Raw genomic sequence first — 27,020 nt, forward strand, 5'->3', positions numbered from 1 at the left:
TGTCTATTTTTTCAGGAAAACCAGGAGAGGAAGGACTAATTTATTTGACTTATAAATACACATTGTAAAAATATCAGATAAGGAAACGTTTCAGTAGGTAAAAAAAGTTTCTTTTTTCAGCACATCTCAGCACCTGCTCTGTGCCTCTGCTGGGTCCTGTGGTTAGAGAGTTGCAGATAGATACTCCACCTCTGCTCTCAGGAATTTAGTGTCAGGGACCTCCAGGAGGGCAATTCAATACGGGAAGTATTTAGAGTAGCCATGGGTACAAAATGCTCTTGGAGCTCATTAATTCTGCCCTCAGGTGTTAGGGACATGATAGTTATTACAGCTATTAACAAACCTTCTCCTTCTCCAGAGCACATGGCAGGGCTCCACTTCCCTGCTCCCATGTAGGCTGGGCATGGCTGTGGACCCTGCCTTGTCATGGTGATCAAGGTAGCTCCTCCTTCAATCAGGGTTCCTGAGAGATTGAGATAGACAGTGTCACTACTGACCATGCTGGACACGTAACAGGAGGGGAAAAACAAGCTGCTGTTGTGTACACCACTGAGATTTGGGGGCTGTTTGTGCTGATTAAATGGGGAGTGACTTGCAGAGTTTAACTCAGTATGGAAGTGCAGGGAAAGTAGGAGCAGGGAGAGCCGACCCAAAGATACAAAGACGTTTTCCTTTGCCTCGACTGCTCCTCCTCCTGCCCTTGCCTGCTCCATGTCTCCTCACCTCTTTCCTGATTACTGGCTCAGCATGGTGTGTTGACCACAGCCCCGGCTCTCCTACCCCACCGATCTACCCAGCTAGACATGAACGCATGTGCCCTAGGCACATACAAGCTTATTCATGGCACTATTCATAGTATTAACAACTAGAGACCTACATGTCCACTGTCTGTAGTATCTACTTCCCAAATATACAACATAGAGTTCCTGGAGAGTATTTTCTCAGGTGAATAAAATGAGATGAGGACTTGTTATTTGGTACCCTGGCAAGCTCTCATGATGTAGGTTAAGGGCCAGATAGAGACCTTACAGACAAAGCCATCCACTTCAGAGATGTAGAGTCCTCTTATCTACTTATGTCCATTCCAAATTATATGTACAGGAAAATGTGGAAGCAATTTTGAAAGTCAAATATAGCTAGTAGCATAGATGAATACATTTCAGCACACACAAACATACACACACCTACACACAATGGGAAACCATATCTCAATGAAAAGAGATAAACCACTGATTATGCAACAACATGAATGAATATCACAAACTTAATACTGACAAAGAGAAATAAGTCACAAAAACGAATATAGGTTCCGTTTGCACAAAGTTTAAAATAGGCCAAAGAAAACCAAAACCAAGCAACAACAAAAAACCCTATGATGTCAGAAGCCAGGACAGCAGCTCCTGTGGGGTGAGGAAGGGAGTGGTGACTGAGAAGGGCATGGGAAGGGCTTTTCTGAGGCCAACAATGTTGTACTCTTTGATCCGGCGTGGTAGGTAAATGTGTGTATTCACTGTATGAAGACTCATCAAGCTGTATACTTCTGATTTGTTTACTAAGTTTTATACCATAATAAGTTTCTTAAAATTAATCCTTCAAAGGAATTTTCAACTTCAAAGGAATTTTCAACTTGAAATAGACGATTTATTCCAATTAGCCTTGCACTAAAACTATTGATAAGCTTTCCTTTAGCTGTGTGTTGTCTTTTGCTTTGCACTACATCTACGAATTTGCACACGAAATGAGCCACCCTCATTGGTAAGTCTCCAGCAGATGCCCGTCTGGGTGTGCAGGCTCTACCTGTGAGGTGGTAGCAGTTCTTTGGAGCGCAAGGGGGGAGATGGTGTGGCTAGTCAGGTAGGCAAGAAGGGGCAGCAAGCTGGTTCTCAGAAGCCAGGGCTCCCTCCCAAGCTCTTCTCATTGGTTCTGAGAACCTCAACAGAGCACCTAATATTCCTGAGTCATCTCAATTTCCTCCTCTACAAATCGGAGTCCCCGTGCATCATAATGAATTTGTGTGAAGGTCACATAACTGAGTGTGCACGTGGGCATTTTGGAAACCACAGACGTCTACACAAATGGGCATGTTCAAAATCAGGCTCCAGGGAGAGATGGCTCCTGAACTCTGTGCTTCTGCTCCTCCCATCACACTTGAACTTCAACATCTGCTCGTCTCTTTAATAAGCACAGTCCACAGAATAGAATTGGGCACCCAGGGGAAGCAGCAGGCATGGGCATCAGAAGGCCATTCCATGCTGGTTGCTATGGTGACATTCACATTCTCCCGTCAGCAGTTTTCAACCAGTTGTACAAATGGAGGGTCCTGTATCTGTTTCCCAAATATGCAGCATAAATTTTTGGGATAGTATTTTCTTAGGTGAAGAAAATGAGGTGAGTACTTGTTATTTGGTACCCCAGGCAAGTTCTCACTACATAAGTTACAGGGCTAGATAGAGACCTTACAGATGTAGCCATCAACCTTCAGACCTGGAGATTCCTCTTATTTATTTATGTCAGTTCGAAATTATGTGTACAGGAAAATGTGGAAACAATTTTGAGAGGCAAACATCCCCTGTGATTCTACACCTCACACAAGTGACCATGTTCAGGTTCTATGTACCCTCCAGGATTTATCCGCTCTCTGCAGATTTTATGCCAGTAACCACTGTGCACATGGGATTTTATGTCTGATGTTTTATAAAACACTATATTATATATAATTATATTATGGTCATATGTGATAGAATTCATAATTATCCTAAACATATTGGGAGAATAACACTGTAAGAAAGAGTCTTAAGAGGAGGTTTGAAGATAACTACAAATAGATCACCCAAGCCCATATTAAAGAATTTCAGTCCCCTCCCTAAAAACTTCCAACAGAAGCAACCAAGACGTCCTTCAGTAGATGAATCAATAAGTAAACTGTGGCACAATCAGGCAACGGAATATTATTCAGCACGAAAAAGAAATGAGCTTTCAAGCCATTTAGAGGTGAGGCATGTTACTCAGTGAAAGAAGCCAGTCTGAAAAGACTACAGACTGTGCGATTCCAATTATGTGACATTCTGGCAAAGGTGAAACCATGGAGACAGGAAAAAGATTAGTGGTTTGCAAAGGTTGGTGGGGAAGGAGGGATGAACAGATGGAGCACAGAGGAGGTTTACGGCAGTGAAAACACTCTGTATGATACTATCATGGCGGACACCTGCTATCCTACATTTGTCTAAACTCATAGAATGTACAACACCAAGAATGAGCACCAGTGTGCACTGTGGACTGGGGTGATAGTAAGGTGTTAATGTAGGTTCATTGATTGTAATAAGTGTCCCACTCTGGCGGGGATTTTGATAGCAGGGGAATGTGTGTGTGTGTGTGTGTGTGTGTGTGTGTGTGTGTGTGTGTGTAGGGAGATGGGGTAACAAGAAATCTCTGTACTTTCTGCCCAATATTGTCTCAGAGCACACTCTCCCTGCTCTGTGAACACCTAAGCCCATTCTTTCTGTCGGGAGAGTTACAGGAGGGCTGAGGTTCATTCCTGGTCCCCGTGGCCCTTCCATCTCAGATGCCATTGGCACAGTGTCTGTGGACCAGCTGATTTCACTTAATTTCATTCAAACAAAGCAAAGGCCATAGTATTTCTTTAGTTGAACATGATAACAAATCATAAATTGTACATGTCACCCCCTCATCAAATGGATCCTTTAATAGTTGCTCGGAGGAGAGCCTGAATTTGAGGGTGGCCTTCTTTGTGGATAAAGTGGTATAGAAAACAAACACTGTTCAAGTATCTATAAGCTTGAAACAGGTGAACATAGAGATCTTGTGTACAGAACCTGGAGTTACCCCATGTGAAAGGTGGGCAAGCCCGGGCTGAAGCCGCGACTCTTTGGAGGACATCTCTTCTCCCCTCCCCTTCGCTCTGCTGCTCCCTCCTGACTTTTTCTCTGCTCCACTTCCCTCCGTCCCTCATCCCCACTCTCTTATGAAGACCAGATACAGAGAGATGCTAGCAAGAGGTGCAACCTGCTGTTTATCTGCCTGTCGTCTTCACTGGTAACTTCGGATGGACCTGGGAATCCAGGGCACTGCTCTAGGGGCCCACGAGAAGCACGTGTGGTCTCCACGATAAACTTGCTAACAGAAAGAAAAAGAGCCTTGGCACACTCAGGGGCATTTGAAACAGAAGCTGACGTCGATCCCAGCATGTCTGGAGGAAAATCCATTTGGCATCAGGCTGAGAGGCTCGCGGGGAGGTGAGGACTTCCCGCTCAGGATTGCAAAACTGCATGTTTCTGCTCTCTCACACTCTGGCTTCAACTTCTTCTCCACGGGCTTCATCATTTTAGCAACAGGATTGTTCTTTGCCTTCTAAAATGCCCTTGTTTCTGTTCCCTCAGGGAAGAGCATAATTAATAAATCAGATCTTTGTCCTGTGCAGAAGACGGGCCGTGGTGTTAGGTCCTCCCCAGACGTGCCGACCTGAAGCCCAGTCACCCCAAGCATCAGTAGAGCCAGATGAAAACGAAAAAAAAAAGCAAAGCACGCAAGTGTGAGCCAGGCTTGAGCACTCAACACCAGATCATGGATTTAATGACTATTTCCCCAGGACACGGCAGACTGTTGGATACATTGACTGGTTGTTTTGGCCTTATGCAGACAGTCTTGAATATCAGATTCAGTTTGTGAAATCAACCGAATGGCTGCGTCACCTCTCCTTCCCTCTCCACAATGCCTTTTCTTCTCCCAGTTCTTCACTCCATTCCAAGTGGGAGGGGGTAATGGCCAGAACACGAGCTTTGGCGTCAGAAGGTCTTGTGTGCACACCAGCTGGGTGATTTACCAACGCTGTGACCCTGGGCGAGGCTCACCTCCCAGGAGCCCCATCTTTCTTTGCAAAGTGGAGACCGTGTCTACCTTGGTTGCCACACAGAGTCATGAGAGGATGGGAGTGTGGGGCCCTGAGGGAGCAGCCTAAGAAGCATAAATTACTGTTCAGTAAGACATGCAAAAGTAATTCTTCAATTTCTATTTTCTCCTCATTCTCTATACCTCAAATTAGAACTCTTTTTAGGTAAGAGGCCAAGTCTTGTTCATTTTTGCCCCTGGCACATAAGTAGATATTCTGTAAATATTTACTGAGTTCACTCATCAGCTCAGTAAATTCATTGAAAACCACCCTTTGCTTGACAAGAAAACAAACATCCCCAGTTCCAACTACCCCAGTACTTTTCACTGTTAGGTGTTTGTATTTTCTCTTTGTTGATCTGCTTACTTGCTTCTCACCCTTCAACCCCAATTAGATTGTAATCGATAGAAAAGCCCCTGGGGACAGGCACAGTGGCTCACGCCTGTAACCCCAGCACTTTGGGAGGCTGAAGTGGGCAGATCACGAGGTCAAGAGATTGAGACCATCCTGGTAAACATGGTGGAACCCCATCTTCACCAAAAATATAAAAATTAGCCGGGCGTGGTGGCATGTGCCTGTAGTCCCACCTACATGGGAGGCTGAGGCAGGAGAATCGCTTGAACCTGGGAGAAGGAGGTTGCAGCGAGCTGAGATCGTGCCACTGTACTCCAGCCTGGGCAATAGTGCGAGATTCTGTCTCAAAAAAAAAAAAAAAGAAAGAAAAAAAAAAGAAAAAGAAAAGAAAAAAGAAAAAGGAAGAAAAAGAGAAAGAAAAAAAGGAAAAGAAAAAAGAAAAAGAAATGAAAGAAAATGAAAAAGAAAAGAAAAAAGAAAAAGAAAAAGAAAAGAGAAAAGAAAAAAAAAGAAAAGAAAAGCACCCGGAACAGAGTGGGCACCCCATTAAGACTGCTGCAGTCAGTGAACTGGCCAAGGTATTCTTTTTCAATTCACAATTTCGGAACAGAAATAAATGGCTTTGCAAATGCCTTGTAGAGAAAACACTCAGCCCTGGTCTATTGGTCTAAGCTCAACACTGATGTCTAAGTTTTGGGGGCAAGGAGAGGGTCCTGCCTGGAATACGGCAAGCAATCTGTCGTGTGTATTCCTAAACTCATGAAGGAACCGCTGCCATTTCCGTCAATTTTTAACCTGACCCCTTCTTTACATGGATTTGCCTTAGAAAAGTCTTCTCCAGACATAAACTGGCATTTAACAAAAAAGAGGGAAAATGAAAACAATAAGGTATCATTTCTTACATCTGCCTGGAAAGACCACGGAGGATGAGCTGAGTGTGAGGCAAACAGAAGGAAATCGGAGGGCTCACAGCTGACAAGGGTGTTAATTGGAATAAAGTCCTGGAGGGCGATTTGACAATCTGTAGCAAAATCCATTTAAAGTGGCATACATCCGGACCCAGAGTTCCTCCTTTTAGACCTTTATTCCAAGGATTCAGCAAATATGAACGAAAATTTTGTGAGAGGATTATGACTCCTGGTTAAAAAAGGAGCGTGCACGCTAAGTAGTATGAACTGGCATGAACTGACATCCTTTGTAAGAACTGCATTTTGCATCTGGGCGAAGTGGCTTATGCCTGTAATTCCAGCACTTTGGGAGGCTAATGCCGGCAGATAACCTGAGGTCAGGAGTTCAAGACCAGCCTGGCTAACATGGCGAAATCCTGTCTCTACTAAAAATACAAAAATTAGCTGGGCATTGCAGCGCACGCTTGTAGTCCCAGCTACTCAGGAGGCTGAGGCAGGAGAATTGCCTGAACCTGGGAGGCAGAGGTTGCAGTGAGCCAAGATTATGCCACTGCACTCCAGCCTGGGTGACAGAGCGAGACTCTGTCTCAAAAAAACAAAACAAAACAAAACAAAAAAAAAGAACTGCATTTTAGACAGTTGCATTCTGTTGAATAGTCTTCCAGAGTTTCCCTAACACTGATTTGCTCTAGACTATTGGGATTGTAGATAATTGTTTCCTTTGCTTATCTACAGTTTTTGTATTTTCTGCAGTAAACAGTTTTGTATTTTCTACAGTAAAGTTTTGTTTACTGTAGAAAATAAAAGTTAAGTGTATGAAAGGGGCTGGATCTTTTAGGACCCAAAGTTACCCTTTGCCACAGGCACTATTGACAAACTATATATTAATCAGAACATACTCTGAATGACTGTAGGATACACAATTGGCAGATCCTAAACAAAGAATATTAAATATTTATATGAAGCCAGTGGGGAGGTGCATGCATGATGGGGAGGCCTGTGGCCAGCAGTGGTGTTTTATGCTCACATAAAATGCGGAGGAGGGAAATTGTTTAGGAAGACGTGGAGAGGTGGGGTTGGGGGACAAGGGGAAGAAATATTTTATTCAGAAGGGGATTTGTATTTGACAGGATGGAGCTTGTTTATTGGAAGGACTTCCTAAGGTTTTACTGAATCCTGCTGTTTCCTTTTTAGAATGGAGATAACTCTGGGCTTGACTTCCCTGATTCCTCCCTTAACATCCTCAAAGCTCTGGCTGGGTGCGGTGGCTCACTCCTGTAATCCCAGCATTTTGGGAAGCCGAGCCGGGTGGATCACCTGAGGTCAGGAGTTTGAGACTGGCCTGACCAACATGTTGAAACCTCGTCTTTACTAAAAATACAAAAATTAGCTGGGCATGGTGGCAGGAGCCTGTAATCCCAGCTGCTCGGGAGGCTGAGGCAGGAGAATTGCTTGAACCTGGGAGGCGGAAGTTGCACTGAGCCGAGATTGCACCACTGCACTCCAGCCTGGGCGACAGAGTGAGACTCCGTCTCAAAACAAACAAACGAAGCAGCCCAGAGGGAGCTGCTTCGTGGCAAGCTGGCAGCTGTGCAGCCCACACTGTGCCATGTTCTGTGCCATGCTGGTCAGTCACAGAACTTTGGCTGGCTTAGATGTATAGTCTGAGGGTACTAAGAAATTAGATACAGAGGACAGCATTTCAAAATACCATCCACTTAAAAAAGCCCCAAAACATCCTTAATACTTCTTTTCAGTTTAAAAGTCATCTTCTTATGAAAAACATCTTGCATGTGATGACTGGAGCATAATAGACTGTAAAATATACGTGTGGAATGAATAAATGAATGAGAGTGTGAATGAATGAATGCAGTTTAAAAGAATTATCAGTGTTTTGCAGACGGTTCTCTTCTGTCCATAAAAGTATACAGTGGATCATTACACTGTGGCCTCTGTAAATCAGACCCACATTTTTTGAGTTCCTACACTGTCTGAGGCCCCGTCTGCAGTTACATTCTCAGTAGAAATGAGAACACACATGCTGGATACCTGGACATGGGGATGGTGCATTTTGGGATTAATGTTAACATGGTGTGAACCACAGTCTCAAAGACTAGAGAAGCCAGTGTGGCTGTAGAGGCTGAGAAGATTTTGTAAGCAAGGTGAACTGGCCTCATAGGATTGGCAGGATTTGGGGGAGCCACTGGGAGACGGAAGAAACCCAGGGATGGGGTGGAGTGACCACAGGTGACCACAAACATCGGGTGAGAGGAGCGGAGCTGGGTCAGAGTGTCCATGCGACACGGGAGTAAGACACGCCACTCCCTTTATTTTTCTAGGTTGGATCAAGCTCTTGGAGCTCTGGGGTTGGTGAGTAACGGAGCCCGGCCATGCATTCTCGTGCTCCCACCCTCCCTAAGGTTGGCTCCAGATGGCCAAGGTCCATCATAGCCATGGCTATGGTGCTTTTGTCCAAGACTGGCCAGTCCAGCCAAGGAGTGTGGCCGCCTTCCCTCCAGCCACACAGCAGCTGCCCTTCAGCCACCTCTCCAGCACGACTCAGCACAGTCCACTGCGGTGGGCTTCGGTGCTCCTCTGTGTCCACCTCCTGACACTCTGCAGCTGTCGGAGCCTCCACTGAAGACACAGAGGGCTGCTTTCTCCCTGCTCCCACGGGCTCACTCAGCCTTTGCCTCTCTATCCTTCCCTTCCCCTTAGTGGTCAGGGATCCTTACCATCCGGGCTTCTGTGCATTTGCTGCTGAATCCTCCTAGAAAAGTTTTGCTGCTTCTCCTTGCCTTGCAGTTGATCACCTCCCCCTTGGAAGCCCTCTCTGGACCCACTGTCCCACACATCCCCTCTTGTCCTCATGAGATTAGATGCCTGCCCACCCACTTCCCGTCTGTTCCTTTGCCACATGGACGCCCCCAGGATCAGGAATTGTGGATGATTCAGCCCCGATTGTATCTGGAGCACCAAGCCAGAGTCAGGAGTGGAGGAGCTACTCTGCACCGTTTCTTAGATAATTCGCGGTACTTATAGCATAGAGCAGTGGAGAGGAGGAAATAAAATACCCTGAGCCAGGGATGTGGGGGACGAGCCAGAACCCAGAGATGCTCCCAGGGAGGAGATGGTGCTGCCGGCAGCTCGTGTTTATTGAGCATTCACTGCAGCCACGTGCTCCTCCAGATACTTGAACCCTCCCTCCGCCAGGCAGGTCCCACCCTTGTCCTCCCTGTGCAGTTTAGGGAGCAGACACCAGCAGAAGCTTAGTCACAGCCCAAAGCTCCCATGCTGTGAGTGGCCCTGTGCCCGTCCATCTCCCAATCCTACCCTAGACAAGGCTGCGGGGACCTGCATGGGGTGCTGGTGGCAACTGGAGAGAGAGCAGGGCATCGGGGGAGGAGGAACCCCTCACACAGGGAGCAGGTAGTGTAGGCCGCGGCAGGCATGTGTGGGGCCCCTCCAGTCTCGGCTTCTGATTCCCCCAGGAGGTGGAGTCCATGCTCAATGCACAGCAGGATGGGGCAGGTATGGGCAGGAGATTTGAGGGAGACGAGGTGGATAATTGCAATAATAGCTAGTGCTTACACAGAGAGTGAACACAGGCCCTGTTTGACCAAAACCATACCGTCCGTGCCTGTCATCTCAGGGTGACTGCAGGAGTCCCCTTCCCCCTCCTCATCCCTGGTGTGCACGCTGGGTGCTGGGCCCTGCTCACAGCACTTCACATGCATGTTCCACGTCACCTTGCTCATCCACTCTGATCCACTGGCGCAAGGGCCTGTGTGGAGCGGGAAGGGTGGATGAGCTGTGTAGAGGACCCTCTCGAGGCTGCAGACCTTGGATGTGTAGTGGCCCGAGAGTGACCACAGCCCATAGTGGAAGGCTCAGCACCACTTGGCCTACAGGTGGAATGGGGGGAGGCTGAAGGGACCCCAAGACAGGCTGCAAGCCCAGCAGGATGAGGACTTAGAAAGCAAAGGAAAAGAGGAATTTAGAGATATCTCAAGCCCTGCCCTCTCCTGGCCTCTGGCTGGGTAGATGCTGGTAAAACCGACTGCAAGATGGATCCACAAACAGAACCACCATTTATAGCATCTTTCCTGTTTTCAGATTATCCGTGGCTCTGATAAAATTAACAAGGTGGGGATTTGTTGGCAGCTCTGACTTCCTGTCTCCCATGTGCTGTGGCAAAGGCCGATCATTGCACATGTTGCAGATAGTTTTGTTTAACCCACAGTGGAGACAGTATATATATACGTATATATATATACACATATATATATATACATATATATATATACACATATATATATACATATATATATACACATATATATATACATATATATACACACATATATATATACATATATATATACACATATATATATACATATATATATACACATATATATATACATATATATATACACATATATATACATATATATACACATATATATATATACACACACACACACACACAAATATATACATATATATACACACACACAAATATATACATATATATACACACACATATATACATATATATATACACACACACACATATATACATATATATATATATATATATATATATATATATATATATATGTATTTTTCCCCCCTAAAGAACAATGACTTTGACAGGAATGAGGTTGAACAAACATTTATTTATCGCCTGTTTTCATAGGGCAGATGGAGAAGCAGTTTTATGCTCAGGGAAAAGAACTGATTTTAAAAGCTTACGTATTGGGATATTGTTACCAAGTCCCACTCAATGCTATGTTATTAACCAGATGGTAAATGTCTCATTTAAATGTCCTTTATTGAACATCTGGGGAAACTGTTTCTGAGCCATGTTTTTGCTCATTGCTCACTGTGACGGGGGTGATTCTGTTGGAGTGGATGTTGTTGCTGTTAACCTGCAAGTGTTCCCGGTTCAGACCCCATCCTGTGGTTTAATCCATGTCTGCAGGATGACAATGAGTTGCCATTTACGAGAAATGTAATCGCAGATTTTGGAGGCCCCAGCATTCCTTTCAATGTTTATAGTTTCTGGAAAAGAGGAAAATTTGTTCTGTAAATGTTGTGTATTCGTGTTACACATTGTAACTGCATTGCACGTGTGTGGCCCCGCTGAGGAGCATGGGCTATTTAGTTATGGCCACCGCTGAAGATTGGTGCCACTGATAGATGGCAAGTGACAGCAGGCAGAGGAGAGCGTGATTTTATGTGATTCTTTGAATTTTCTCATGTCATTTGCAGCAAAATATAAAATCCTGACTACCAAATTTAAAACTACAAAGGAAAACAGGCAGGGCGCGGTGGCTCACGCCTGTAATTCCAGTATTTTGGGAGGCTGAGGTGGGCAGATCACTTGAGATCAGGAGTTTGAAACTAGCCTGGTCAATGCGGTGAAACCCCATCTCTACTAAAAATACAAAAATTAGCCAGATGTGGTGGTGCACACCTGTAATCCCAGCTACTTGGGAGGCTGAGGCAGGAGAATTGCTTGAACCTGGGAAGTGAAGCAGAGGTTGCAGTGAGCTGAGATCGTGCCATTGCACTCCAGCCTGAGTGTCGCAGTGAGATTCCGTCTCAAATAAAAAACAACAACAACAACGACAAAAACAGTCCACGTTAAGACAGAATTCTTGTCAGTTGTGGAAAGAGAAATGCTCTCCTTCACCTATTTCTCTGTTGAGGCAGCCTGAGCATGCGACTGTCCTGTGACACACCTTCATTTCGGATGCTGTGCCCGGCCCCGGGCTCCCCACTTTTCCACGGTGGAATCCACATGTGCATTTTGTAGTCATGGCTTTTACTCACAATTTTCCCTCTAGATGCAAACGCGTCTCCATGAGGAAGAGCAAGGCTCCTGCAGGATGGAGATCAGATGGATCAGGGATCCCACAGACAGAACCTTTTGCCTGATATGAGCACCCTTGGGAGAGACCTCTTCACACAAATGTTCCTTGCAAGGAAAACACTCCTGCCTCACTTTCTTCAACCCAGCCATGACCTTTCTTGGTGAGAAACTGTAGGAAGAGTTGGATCTCTGGTGTGTGTGTGTGTGTGTGTGTGTGTGTGTGTGTGTGTGTGTGCATGGTCTGATATGAACTACGTAGCCTCTTCCTTCCGGGATCAGCTCCTCACTGTGTCCCCAGATGAGGCTTTAACCCCTGAGTGCCCTGGATGATGGTGCTGCTGCCCCCTGGCCCTGCTCACCTGGCCCCTTCCCTGGCTCTCTCTCTGCAGGGACAGGGTCACACCAGGGTTACAGCATCTGCCTCCCAGCCTCCCAGCTGGCCAGCCCTTCTGCAGTGGCTCAGCCGCAGACCCCTCCTGCACACCACAGCCAAAAACGATTCTGCCAGGACTACAGCATCCCGTGAAACTGACGCTTAATGATGCAGAACTCCACGTTTCCTGTCGTCAACTTGTCATCATTTTCCTTCCCAGAACCCCCAGCACCTCTGACACCGACCTGGATCTCTACTCCAGAAACTCAAAACCCATTTTTGCCACACCGTCACGCTAGCTCTCCTTTGCTCCCCTAATCCAGGTCCCCGTTTCTCTGCACCTGTGCCCACCACCGGGAATCTCTCCTGTTAAGTCGCCTCCTCCATCCCGCCTTCTCCTGACCCCGTTGGCCCATGCGTCTTTGAACTTTTGCAGAATTTGCATCTGTAACAAATTACTTGCTATTTAATTATGTTCTGTCATATTATTCCTGTTGAATTTGGCTGAGAACCATGCGCTCCTTGAAAGCAGAAACTGTCTTTGTTGTTCTGTGTCCTGATTCAACCCACTAGCCCCAGAGCACGTCTGCAGGAAAGGCCTTCTAAGCTCAGGTCATCAAGCTCCTCCCAACTGCACTCTTTTACTTCTGTTTTTCCAAGTCGATCTTTTTTTAAAAAAAAACAAAAAACTTAAATGAATTCATTATTAAAAAAACTTTTTATCACCTCCAGAAATGGAAAACTGTATCATTTGCCATCAGTAGAATTTGGCTGTAAAAGCAAATTCCATGTAAACAGAACAATGCTGTTGGGTCCTACTTCCTCAGTCTGAGACCTGCTCTTTCTCCCGTGGTCATGGAGACTCCAAGTTCTAAAGACATACTAGGAACAGAGAGCAGCTTTTATTGTATCCAGAAGAAGAGAGACAGAAAAAAACAGAACCACCTGAAAAGTGAACAACTTCCTCACTCTGTGATTGGCAGTTGTTGAATCCAGTGAACAGGCACCACCAAAGATCACCCTCAGCCCACACCTCAGGACCCTCTGGTACAGACTCCAAAATCTACCACTTACTGTGTGAGTTCCAAGTAACAAACTCTGAGTATTATCTTATTTAACTCACTCTGGGGTGAGTTCTCTAAGGAAGAACCCATTATTATCCCGCTTTCCAGATGAGGAAACTGAACATAGCAGGAGAAAGAAGCTTGACCACAACCACACAGTAGTAAGTGACTAAGTCAGGACCCAGTGAGGATAAACAGTCATCCTAAGTTTTATAAGACAGAAAATTTAATTACAGGGACTTCCTAGATGGTAGAAGAGCCAAAACGTCAGACAAGGGACATTGAGGCAACCCTGGTGTCCACAGCATCAGGAAGTGGCTACCACCTCTCAGATGCACAAGGAAGGAGGCAGTTATCAGAGCCCAGGAATCAGACTCACTGAAGGGAAGCTAGAACCAGGGTGGGTCTCTGTGGCAGGAGCTGGCTTGTAGAAGGAAAGAGCCTCCAGGCAAGACAGCCCAACAAACAGAGTCAAGAAGCCCACCCAGACTCCTGTACACACCCATGTCCCTCCAGGCTTCCCATTGGTCCAACCCAGTCAGAAGCCAGAGACACAGGAACCCGGGGCTCATAGCCTGCAGAGGCCAGACCCCCCATGATACAGGGCAGAGCAGGGGTGGATGGGAGGAGGGGGATGCTTTGAGACCACCAGGCACAGGCTCACCCAGGTGGTCTTATTCTGGGGTCTTTTCACTCACACAAACCATGTTGTAGTTGACTATTGGATTTCATGAGATAAGAGTTCATGTGTGTTCTTCCCCATTCCAAGAAGAGGTGGGCTCTTCCTACTTCCTAGCTACCTGCAGCTACCTGGAGCTTTCTTCTAACATCTAGGGAGTCCCTGTAAGTAAATTTTCTGTTTTAAAACTGTTTAAAGTTGTCTGAAGACAATTTTTCCTCCACTCTTTTAAGCCCATTGAAAAGGTAGTGCAAAGTTTCCCGGAGTAAGAGAGGTGAAGGGGAAGTGGAATTGTGTTTCTTGGATTGAGAACAGATCTGAGGTTCACGGAGCCTGTGGGCAGGGGTTACCTGCGTCTTGCTCCCTGTCTGCATCCCCAGGAGGAGGCCAGGCCTCCTCAGCACCCGTGAGTACATTTAAAAGGCTGAGGTCTCGGCATCAGACACTCTGTCTTGTCCAAGGCTCCCAGCTCCACAGGAGCATAGGGCAGAAAGCTGCCAGACCACACACATAATGGTGGAATGTCTAAGGCCCTTCTCCGGAGGGGGCAAGAGGAAGCCTCGAAAGATGGGGAAGGGCCAGTAGCCATGAGGCTCAGTCCTCTCCTGCCTGGTGGGTGGGACCTGTGGAGTCAGAGTCAGGCTAATTTGAAGAAAATGAAGACGGGCTATTTCTCACCCATCTGATCATGGGGGCTAAAATTCTCAACTGGAGGTAATGTGGAAAATGGGGGGGATGACATGAGGTCAGTTCCCCAATCTCTGCCAACCTGAGGGGCTTGTTTGAGTCTTGATGGCCAGAGATTGATGGGTGTGAGTTCATGGAACACTCATGAGACCCTGAGCAGAAAGCAGACCACCACCTTGGCCAGGTGTGTGCACAAAGCAAAACAAGACAGTTGGCTCATCCTATACAACTCCTCCTACCCAGGGCAGGACTGCAGCCGAGGGAGTGGTAAGTGAGAAGCTGAAGAGGTGGGGCCTTGACCTGACCATGGGAGGCTGTGGGTGAGCAGGACAAAAGCCTCATTACCCTGAGAGCACAGGTAATAAAGTCCTTGTGATCTCCCCTGCCTAGGGAAGAGCTGGACACGTGGGATCAGTTGGATGGTTAAAAATTGAAGAAGCACTTTTCTCTTCTAATTATTTCTTTTGACAACCAACTTTAGGCTGCAGGCAGGTCCCCATGTCTGTTTCTTTTGTTATTCAGTTCAGCGAGCCAAGAAAACATGAGTTTCTTGCCCTGAAAATCCAAGCTGTACCATTTCCAAAGAAGCAGTCATCAGAAAAGAATAGGGTCTCTTAGGAGTTTAATTCCAGTGTCCAGAGCAAAGAAACATGTTGTCAGCTTGCACCTTGTTGAATAAACACCTTCTGGGTCACAGACTACTTTCCCACTGAAGCCAACCTCCTTCTGAATTTCCTGGAAGGGTCTTGGCCATGAACCTCAGTAGCACTTATTTCAGAAGGTGACCCAGGTACCAGGACAAGGCCCTTGAATCCCTGAGGGTGGTGATGAGCACACAGTGCCGCTGGTCCCCTGGCGCTGTCTGTCTGTCTGAGTTCCTCCTCGGTATGTGCCAACCTGACCTGCCCTAACAGGCTTACCCAGCCCTGGGTTACCCTACCTTGGAGAAATAGAAGGAATTTGGGGGATGATTCTTATGACTTGGGCAATGATGAAGAGTGGCGGGAGCCCTTGACATTGTATCTCCTGGAGTGACGTTCTTAGACTTTTCAGAATGGAAGTGAAATGCTCAGCAATGAGCAGAAACCACCCACGTTTTGATTTTAAGATGGTCCATCTCATTTGACAGCACTCCACTGACCCATTGGGCAATTTCTTGGAAATGTCCCAATTCTCGGAAACTCTGGGTAATTGTGCTTACAAAGCCAATGCAAAGAAATTACTGGGAATCCCAGGCCTGTACAGGAAAATAAGATACTGTTGCTGGCCTCTTATAAGGACCAGTCGTTATAGGGACACGGTCGTACGTGGAGGCCCTGGAACTGCCCTTGTAGTTTCTGTGAACCTTCATCTGCCTTAAGACCCTTGAATAAAATTTGTTCTTTGCACTTTTAAAACCAATAAGGGCTTTTGTTGCTGGGAAGAGGAAAGCCAATTTGTTGGGGAAGAATTATTCAGAACTGTCTCCCAGGCCTTGGGGGATAAAGGAAGAGCATTTGCAATTTGAACAGAAGGCACTGAAAGGCCGCCTTTTAGACTCTGAGATGTGAGAGGGTGATGCACTCTCAGTCTGCCCTCCATTTGCATTTTAACTGCCAGGCAAAGCCATTGTGAACAGGAAGGGCCCCGCCCCTGCACACACTGTCCAGGCAGCTGGACACTCTGCCCCATTGTTGGCAGGTGTTTCTGAAGGGCACCGTGGGTTCAATGCTCTTGTTTCAGTTTCTTTTGGTATGTTAACATCTCCTCTTTTTGAAAGAATTTGGTCTATTATTTGACTCATGCAAATAGAGAAATAGAATTCCAAACCATTAGCCTACTTATTAAATATTTATAATAAGTAGCTGGGATGAAAATACCTGTTCTATAGGTATGTCACGTGGGGACAGATAAACCAAGACCTGCAAATACTTTTATATACTCCATATAAAAGGACCCACAAATGCTATTGAATGATGGTAGAAATTGCTATTTATGTTCTGCACATTGAGGACCATTGAAGCCAATCTCCGATGATGCTCAGCTGTCATGAGTCAGCTCACAGAATCCCACTTGAAAGACAGAACTGTAGAAAGAGGTTTCAGTAAAGTACACGGACTTTCCATCCAGAAAATCCCATTTCATCAACGATTGTCTTGCATAGAATCACAGAAAAGAAGTGTTAAGAAAAGGATACCCACAACTTAGAAATAAGGCAAAAAAAGTATTGTGCCCTCTTTCAATGTCACTAAGCAGTGTCTAACAATCTAACAAGCCCATGTAAGGTGCATCTGAAGCTCTAAAATAATTATTTTAAAATTTGATCTAATACTTACAATTGACATGGCAGTCAAACAATGTAGAGGAAGGATAAGTTGCAAATTGTTTCTGTCCAGTAGAAAACTTAATCAAGTCAAATGTTATGAATTAATTGATTATTTTTGACCCATGGGGCATTGCCAGTTTTGTTTCTAACTTTGCAGTCTTGTAACTGCCCAGTGGGTTCACCTTGCCCACTGCCTCGACAGAGCCAATTTATCAAGACAGGGGAATTGCAATGGGCGAAGGGTAGTTCACACAGAACTGGCTGTGCAGGAGACCAGAGTTGTGTTGTTACTCAAATCAGCCTCTCCAAGCATTCGGGGATCAGAGTTTTTAAAGATAATTTGGCAGGCAGGGGCTTGGGAAGTGGGGAGTACTGATTGGTCAGGTTGGAGATGGAATCATAGAGGGTCAAAGTGAGTTTTTCTTGCATCTTCTGTTCCTGGGTGGGATGGCAGAACTGGTTGATCCAGATTACGGGTCTGGGTGGTGTCAGCTGATCCATCCAGTGCAGGGTCTGCAAAATATCTCAAGCACTGATCTTAGGTTTTATAATAGTGATGTTATCCCCAGAAGCAATGTGGGGAGGGTCAGACTCTTGGAGTCAGAGGCTGCAGGACCCCTAAACTGTAATTTCTAATCTCGTAGTTAATTTGTTGGTCCTGCAAAGGCAGACTGGTCCCCAGGCAAGAAGGCGGTCTTTTCGGGAAAGGGCTATTATCAATTTTTTTGTTTCAGAGTCAAACCACGAACAAATTCCTTCCCAAAGTTAGTTCGGCCTACACCCAGGAATGAACAAGGACAGCTTAAAGGTTAGAAGCAAGATGGGGTCGGTTAGGTCTGATCTCCTTCACTGTCATAATCTCCTCGGTTATAATTTTTGCAAAGGCGGTTTCAAGCTTACTCTTCATTTTTCCCCGTTGATCATATATGCTAGTCTCTTCCTTAGAACCCACTTTCATCCTGCCTGTTCCCTCATGCAGGAGTTAAATATACCTTCAGAACATGGTCACTAGGTGTGTGTATGAGTTATGCTTTATAAACTTCAGAAAATTATACTCCGAAGGCTGTCTGGCAAAGTGTTTAGAAAATAGTGATACTCTTGATGCTAGATTTATAGCAACAGGTCCTAACTAGAGAACAAGATTTTATGCATATCCCAACTGCCCCTCGGTGTGGAAAATGAGGGGATGGGGCCGTCAATCCCCCAATCTGTGTCCAAGGGGATTGTGAAAAGCCACCCACGAGGTGTCAACACATCCTTCATGATAGAGCAGCCATTACAGCATGAACATTGTACACACATTCAAAAATATTTTATGGGTAGCAGCTGAAAGAAATATTATTTCTCTTTTTTGAATGAGAGTGAAATCATAGCTGGTCCTCCTGAGTTGTTCACGGAGTAATTCTTTAGTCATGGTCTCTCACTGTCCTTTCCTCTTGAACTTCTGTTATCCTAGAAGACAAACCAAACAGTACATAGAAAGATAGCACAATGAAGAACCCTGCTTCAGACCTCTTCTACAGGGAGCTTGACATTTTTTCCAGGAAACTCAGCTTGTTTGTAGTGGCAGATATCAACGGGAGAGCCCCGGGAGCACAGTGGCTGTAGGAAAGGAAGCCGTGCTGCCCCGCGTCCTTTCAAAGCTCCCACGAAGACCTCGAGAGCTTTTCCCAGGGTTGTTCGGCTTATCTACCAGAGCTGTATTATTTATAGGGTCAGAGAAAGTCAAAGTATTATGAGTGTTCGTAGATCAAACAGAGCCTCCTAAATGCTCACTTCCCAAGATTCACTTGGAAACATCTGGGGTGTTTTCTGTACAAAGTGTTGGCTACTTACAAGTTTAGTAGCCTTGTGATAAGTAAGATATATCTTCTCCTCTGAACTCTTCTAGAAGATGGTGGGAAAAGATAGGGAGCTACCATCTCCCTAGAGACATACAATTATTCCGGCCAGCTTAGGTGACTGAGACAAGCAATGCATTGCAATGAATTGCAGAGACTGAATGGCCAGGCTAACCAAAATGCACATCATACTGAAACAACACACTTCAGGAGATATCTGATGTTCCAGTTATGTCTTTGGATTAAGGAATAATGGCTCCAGAAAAGCCTACTGGAAATAGAATATGTTGTTTGAGAGGGACAGCTTATTAGCTGATCAGTGCTTATGAATTAGAGAAAAGGGCACAGAGGAAAGAAGTCAAAGTGGGAAGAGTGTTCAAGAGACCTCTAAGTGGTGGAGAGCAGCCCAAGCAAGGGCTTTCTTTCTGTTGCTATGATTGTGAAACAGGAAAGGTTTCCCCGTCCAGCTCGCAGGGTGTGTGATGGCGGTGTGACTCGCTGCTTCAGTGCCTCGCTGCTCAGACCTCTAGGGGAGCATAGAGACAGGGCAGGCTGTGGGGCTCCAACCCGACGGCAGTGACTAGGGGTGAATGTTTACAGCTGAAGCCCCAGTGGGCGTGTGTTACAGGGTGCTCTTTTAGTTTAGCCATCCATAGGGATCTCGTGTTAGTCAGCTCAATTAGACCCATGCCTTATCGCAAGGACAGTGGGCTTTCTGTATCCTGGGGTTCTTGCCTTGGTGTACTGGAAGAATTGGATCACACGTGGGCTTGGAGAATGGGTGCAAGGTTTTATGGAGTGGCAGTAGTTCTCAGCAGATGGGGGAGCCAGAAGGGAGATGGTTTTCCCCCGGAATAGGGACACTTGGTGGCCCACCCCTTCTCTGACTGCTCCAGCCAAACTCTGTGTCGTTCTGCCGGTGCCTGTCGGTGTGCTGTTGATGTCCAGCCACTCGTGTGTTCTGCTGATGTGTTCCTCTCGACGTGCAGCTGCTTGCGTGTCTGCCTGCTAGGGTCTCAGGGTTTTTATAGGCACAAGATGGGGGTGTGGCAGCCAGGGGGGTCTTGGGAAATGCAACATTTGGACAGGAAAACAAAATTGCCAGTCCTCATCTAAGCCCGGGGGCACAGGCCTGGGGATGGAGCCCTAGCCAAGGACCACTCCCTCCTCTACCCAGCACTTCCCTTCCCCCTTCCATATCATTTATTTATTTATTCATTTATTTTTATTTTTATTTATTTATTTATTTATTTATTTATTTATTTATTTTTTTGAGACGGAGTCTCACTCTGTTGCCCAGGCTGGAGTGCAGTGGCACAATCTCAGCTCACTGCAACCTCCGCCTCCCAGGTTCAACCCATTCTCCTGCCTCAGCCTCCTGGGTAGCTGGGATCACAGGCACGAGCCACCACATCCAGCTAATTTTTGTATTTTTAGTAGAGACGGGGTTTCACCATGTTGGCCAGGCTGGCCAACTCCTGAACTCAAGTGATACGCCCACCTTGGTCTTCCAAAGTGCTGGGATTACAGGCGTGAGCCACTGCGCCTGCCCAGCCCTTCTGTATCATTTAAAGGGACCACGCACCTCCCTTCCCAGCACTTCCTTTCATATCAACTGGGGATAGAGACAGCGCTAGGCGATGGCTGGCAGGATGGCCATGGGAAGACAGGGAAGAAAATCTTATTTTCCAATTTTATCAAAACGCTTTCAGTTTCACAAAAAAATTTTCTTATTTTTACAATCTCTGATGATTAAATCTCTGTCTCTCTCTCTCTGTCTCTCTCTCTCTCTCTCTTTCAAGGAGCCCTTATAGCTTCAGTCATCATGGGAGGGGCTTTGAAGTTAAAAAGGTTCAAATGCCAGTTTTGCCTCTTCCTAGCTGTGAAACAGCAGCTAATTCACTGAACCTCTCCAGTCTGTTTCTTCATCTGTCAAGTGGAGGCAAGAGAGCTTTGTCCATGGGGTTTGGTGAGAATTGCATGTACCTGGCATGTGAGTGCTCAGTGAGTGCTGGGAAGTGGCGTTTAGTTGCATCGACCTACTAAAAAAAGCATCCAGATGTTTATTGAGAGATGCAACCTGACATTTCAGATAGGCTCAATCTTTGTATTATTAGAGCTTGTAAATAAAGAATCCTTGTCTACTACTAATGCTTCCACTGGAAAGGGTATATGGTTATTATTGGCAGTGACAATGGTAGATTCCACCCAAAAGCAAACTTCAAGCACAGTGCATGGCATAGAGCAGAAGCTCCATAGATGTTCGCTCCACCTTTGACAGCATGTTTCGTATCTTCAGCCAGAACGCCAGCTGTGGATAGTCAACAACCCTCAGAAAATACCAATTACATGAAGTGCCGACAGGAATCTATGAGATGCCCCGTAAAGCTGAGGGCTCTAGGCAGTGGATTAGGGGAAATCAAGGGAGGTAGGCATCTGATTTAATAAACAGAGTACAGCAAAGGGGGAAATCTTTCTCTAATGCTAGTTGAAAATAAATTTTCCTCTGATGACTTAGATTGCCTTTTTCTTCTGGCTTTAATGATCTCTAAGCTATTGCTTAAAACAAAAAAAATGCTCTAGATGACATTAAACTCCTACAAATGTATATAAAAATGAGCATTTATGAAATCACAAATCTTGTGAAATGTACCTATTTAAATCCTCACCTATTTGGCTTTTGTTTAAGATTTTTATAAAGTGGATGAGAGTAGCAACATATGTATATTTCATGTAAATTGCTGGTACAGCCTTCGCTTCTGTAGGCACTACCTGCTTTGAGCACGAAGGGTATAAGTAGAGCCCTGAGTAGATGATTTTTCGGCAGGGCGCGGTGGCTCAGGCCTGTAATCCCAGCACTTTGGGAGGCTGAGGCGGGTGGATCACTTGCATTCAGGAGTTCGAGGCCAGCCTGGCCAACACGGCAGAAACCCATCTCTACTAAAAATACTAAACTTAGCCAGGCATGGCAGCGCACACCTGTAATCCCAGCTACTCCAGCAGCTGAGGCAGGCGAATCACTTGAACCTGGGAGACAGAGGTTGCAGTGAGCTGAGATCATGCGAGTACACTCCAGCCTGGGCAACTGAGCAAGACTCCGTCTCAAAAATAAATAAATAAATAAATAATAATAAAGAAGAATTTTCGCAGGGGCACTGAAAACGGGGTTCTTGCCGGCTCAGGAGGCTGACTCAGGTCTGGAAGGTGCCTCGCTGATAACCTCCCATGTGGCATCACCTGTCTCTCTTGAAGAGCCATCGCAACCAAGGCTTCCTCCTCCTGGCCAGGCCTTGGCAGGTCCTCACTCTTTCCCCTGCAACCACTGAAGTTTCCAAGCTGTTGCCACAAGCACTGCTTTCAACCTGGCCCTGCTGGTGGTCACCAAGGGTGATCCTGGCATGCCATGGCTTTCAAAGCAGCTGTTAATTGCGCTGTTTGCCAGTGGATGGAGAGGAAGGTTGGAGAGATTTCTCCTCTGTTGGCATGACCTATCGGTCAAACCTTTGTGCCTGAGAGAGTCCCTAAATGAAGAAACTTGGTCAGAGAATATGTGAAAGCTGTAGTGCATTGAAACTATTTATTCAGCCTGACCAAAAATCAGTCAAAATTAGCTTTGATCTTGCTAGTTACTCTCCCCCCATTTACAAAATCTACCTAGGCCTGGGGTTACCTGAGGAGGACCCTGGAAAGTTCAATGAATCATCAAATCATTTTCATTTACATCCAAACTTGGAGAAAACGTCACTATTAAAACCTTACTGAGAAGGCAGTAAAATCCATGTTTTTCATGAATAAAGCTTGAACTTCAGACAAAACTGTAGTTGTTTGCCGCATCCCTGTGAGGACAAAATCCCTTCAAAGAAAGATTGCTTACTTTCCACTTCCTTCGGATGTGTGGCGAAAGAGCTTCAGGAAAGCTTACTTCCTTCAAACTTACCAGACGGCCCTGAGGTCACTACAGATTTAAGTACAAATTGAGCATTTGGAATAAAATTAAGGACAGGTGTGTGGATTTCTGGGGAAAAGTCCAAGGGTGGCTTTCTCTTTTCAACAGTGACCACCTCCCTCCCTCCCTTCCTCCTTCCTCTCTTCTATCATTGTCATGATGTTGGGTGGACAACTTGGTATCAGAGTTAAAAGGAAATTAATGTAACTGTATCAATGGCTACAATTTAATACATCTCCACTATTATTAATTTATTTATTGAGTATGCTGTATTTTTGGTCCTATTTTAGTGATCATAATTTTAAAAAAAAAACCCTATCTGTAGGACTTCCATTGGTTCAGCAGTAATAAAGTTCTTCCAACACAATGTTCTACATGGAATCTGTAATTCCACAATCAACAATTCTCTAATGAGAAATGTCTTAAGAAACCTAACCTTCACCTTTTGGAAGGAACTGTTGTACATGCAAGGGGTACCATAAAATACTTTAAGAAAAATGAATGTATGGCATTTCATGATGAACAAGTTAAATATATTATTGATACACTATTTAACCAAATGCATATTTAATTAAGAGAAGTGTTAGACAATTAGGGGAAACATTAAAATGGGAAAGTAATATATTTAACAATCACCTGTTGTTAATTTGGAATACATGACTATATTGCTTGGAGACATTTTCATAGTTAATAAATAAGATTAGTAAGTACACGGGTTGCTGTAGTTTCTAAAAATTTTATAATGCATATTAAGCTCTTAAGCTGAAAGACTAGATCAATTATTCCAATAGTAACCATTTGTCTCGTAAAACATTCACCAGGTTTGCCTCATAAATTTAGATTTGGAATTAAAAGGCCTAATTTGCATCACAATTTTGTTCATATGGTAAGAAAGAGTAGACTATGTATAAAAGTATTTTTTAGTCAGAAGGAGAACACACTCCTTTTGTTATACTTGGTTTTGAAGTATGAAGTGTGTATTTTTATGTGGAGTTAGGATTTGGGTTTTCATTTTAATGATGTTTGTGTGAATTAGATTTGTAAATTAGATATGAAGGCAGGACCAGCCAAAGCCAATTTCTGATTAATCCAAGAGAGAGTAATTCTTGACTCTCACCCACTGCTACTGAGCTGACAGAAAATTCTCACTTAAAACAACAAATTCACATTAATATTTAGACATGTTTTGATAACAATAAGAACTAATACTTATACAGAATGCATAAGCATCGTTCTAAGTATGTACACACATCAACTCATGTAATCTTCACCTCAGCTCTCGAAGTACATATCACCAACACCATCATCGTCTTCTTTCCTTCCTTCCTTCCTTCCTTCTTTCCTTCTTTCTTTCTTTCTTTTTTCTTTCTTTCTTTCTTTCTTTCTTTCTTTCTTTCTTTCTTTCTTTCTTTCTCTCTCTTTCTCTCTCTCTCTTTCTTTCTTTCTATCATTTCATTCTCATTGCCTAGGCTGGAGTGGAGTGGCATGATCTCGGCTCACTGCAACCTCTGCCTCCCGGGTTCAAGCGATTCTCCTGCCTCAGAGCTGGAATTACAGGAGCCTGCCACTATGCCCGGCAAATTTTTCTATTTTCAGCAGAGATGGGGTTTCGCCATGTTGGCCAGGCTGGTCTCAAGCTCCTGACCTCAGGTGATCCAACCACCTTGGCCTCCCGAAGTGCTGGGATTACAGGCATGAGCCACCACGTCCGGGCGTCATTGCCTTCATCATCACTATTTTAAAGGTAGGGAAACCTAGGCACACAGAGTTTAAATAACTTGCCCAAGATTAGCCAGCATGCATGAAGGAGCTAAATGCAAAGCCAGGTACTACAGCTTCCTAACCTAGGCTCTTTCTTTTTGTTTGTTTTAGAGATAGAGTCTTGCTCTGTTGCCCAGGCTGGAGTGCAGTGGTGCAAACATAGTTCACTGCAGTCTTGAACTCCTGGGCTCAACGTATTCTCCCACCTCAGCCTCCCGACTAGCTGGGACTATAGGACACCACCATGCTTGGCTAATTTATATATTTTTTGTAGAAACAGGGTCCTGCGATGTTGCCCAGGCTGATCTCAAACTCCTGGCCTCAAAGGATCCTTCCACCTCGGCCTCCCAAAGTGCTGGGATTACAGGCGTGACCCACCACTGTGCCTGTCCCTAGCCTGGGCTCTTGAGGACTAGCCCCCTTGACTTTTCCCAGGTACAGCCCATGGGTGCGAGTGACGGTTTCGGGTGTCACTCTAGTGCTGGCGCACCTCTCACAGCACTGGGAGAATGATGGTGATGACTGTCTAGCACATGGGCATGTCTACTACGAATCACCTTGAGTATGTTACTTCCTATGAAAGATAACGTGATAGCTCATGTATAGAGACATTTCAGTTTCAAAAAAGGAAAAATGTAATATTGCCCTGAAATGTCGAATGGGTATTTTGGTAATCTGCACTAAACGTTTTCTGCCAAATGAGACACTCACTCATTGGGGGGTGTTTGTTTCCATTTAAGTTTTTAAATTACAGGGTTTCCTTTAGGTTTTAACCATTCTCTACAGTGTGGTTGAGTTTTAAATTAAGCCTGCTGAAAATAGAGACTAAAATTGGTTTGGCCACAAGGTTTTCAAAAGTATTTTTTTCCCCTCTCTTTCTTTTGTGTTTTGTTTATGTTAGGATAAGAGCATTTAAAAATGAGTGAGAGGTCAAGGTATCATTTTCCTCTAAATGACATTTCCTTTCCCTTTCTTTTCTCATATTTTTTGTGTGTGGTGTGAGTGTGTTTAATTACTTTGTTTGCTTTCATTTAGCCAAACATTATATTGTCTATTCATTTGTTAGTATTTTCATTTTCAAGGGACTGTTTTCTCATGCTTACATCATTCTAACATTCAAGTTCTTTCTTTCTTCTTTTGTACTTAGAGGCAGACAATTCTCTGTTCACAATCCTTTTGTCATAGTTTAAAATATGGGTTGTAAGGTTTATCAGTAAAATGAACCTTCCTAAGATCAGCATAAAAGGTAGTAGGGCTACTAAAGAAGTTATCAAAAGAGCATCTAAGGTCCTTAAGCTGTTGACATGTTGTCACAGCATATTTCCAGTTTGCAAATTTTCAATCCACAAAATCTGTAATTCAGATTGCCACTAAAATTTGTATTCCCGAAGTAGTAATAATAACAAAAGGCACTTACTATTTTGTAAAATACGGTTTTAAACATAATCATTAACTCACTCAACCTCGCAATAACCTCATAAAGAGTTGTTATTTTCAGAAGCACAGAGTGATTAAGTGAAATTCCCAGGTTACATTGCTAAAAAAGATAGATCACAGACCCATAAAAATATTTTCATTGTTATCAGTTTTATCATCATATCTTTTATTGAGCACCTTTTATAATTATCCAAGCTGTTCTATTAGGAATGTATTCTACGTATTGCTCTTTTTACAGATAAGGCAGCTAACAAGTCACAGTGGTTAAATAACCTATGGAAGGCCAAAGATCTTAAAGTCAGTGTTGGAAATCAAGTTCGGCTGGCTCCAAACCTGTGCTGTTTCAGCTTCTCCACAATTCTTTACATCCATGGGCTTCAATTTTCTCAGGTGGAAAATTTTAAAAGCCCCTTTGATTATAATAATTTATTACTGAAAATAAGAGACAATCATTATGGCCCTGAGTCTGAATACTGATAGTAATTTTTCAAGCAAAAATAAACACTTTTGGGGGTGAGATAAAACAATTTTGATAGAAAAGGCTTTTCCAAAGAGATTCAGTTTGATGTGCATGGTCTAGATTTTCTGTGATCTTCTGTAATCTAGGGAAAGGCTTAAATAATTGGAAGCTTTGAATGCTTAATATGTTCCTGGGGCCATGCATCCTTCTTTTATATTACTTGTCTTGGCTGGATATCTGACAAGATCTATACAGTAGAACATACACAAACTTGAAGCTTAAGGGCTTGTTATTTAGGCATTATTGGCTCTTTTCCTCATTTTTACTATTTATGGAGCTTAGCTTTTCTTTCTATAGATACTGGTTTCTGTTGGGTATCATATTCCTTCTGCTTGAAGAACTCTAACATTCCATGTGT

The 27,020-nt window shown here is 44.6% G+C and overlaps 1 long non-coding RNA gene across 5 annotated transcripts in view, besides 2 other annotated features; it reads right to left on the reverse strand.

Moving 5' to 3' along the window:
• Window positions 9,668-10,167: an enhancer, noted in NCBI's record as "H3K4me1 hESC enhancer chr2:237818251-237818750 (GRCh37/hg19 assembly coordinates)". NCBI's record gives its function as "activates a minimal SCP1, AML or CMV promoter by ChIP-STARR-seq in naive H9 embryonic stem cells {active_cell/tissue: H9 hESC(naive)}" and the evidence as "EXISTENCE:reporter gene assay evidence [ECO:0000049][PMID:30033119]".
• COPS8-DT (COPS8 divergent transcript) overlaps window positions 10,831-27,020 on the reverse strand; it is a 175,051-nt gene continuing 158,861 nt past the window's right edge. For 4 of the 5 annotated variants that reach the window (NR_187938.1, NR_187936.1, NR_187937.1 and 1 more), the window contains one exon: window positions 15,458-18,609. This is a non-coding gene — a long non-coding RNA (COPS8 divergent transcript). Of the gene's footprint in view, window positions 11,236-15,457; window positions 18,610-27,020 lie in introns of those variants that run through there. The other variant, NR_187934.1, reaches the window with a different exon arrangement.
• Window positions 18,646-18,940: a silencer, noted in NCBI's record as "tiled region #6837; HepG2 Repressive non-DNase unmatched - State 21:Repr". NCBI's record gives its function as "represses a minimal TATA promoter and a strong SV40 promoter by Sharpr-MPRA in HepG2 cells {active_cell/tissue: HepG2}" and the evidence as "EXISTENCE:reporter gene assay evidence [ECO:0000049][PMID:27701403]".

The sequence above is a fragment of the Homo sapiens genome, chromosome 2 (genome assembly GCF_000001405.40).
Source record: "Homo sapiens chromosome 2, GRCh38.p14 Primary Assembly".
Lineage (NCBI taxonomy): Eukaryota > Metazoa > Chordata > Mammalia > Primates > Hominidae > Homo > Homo sapiens.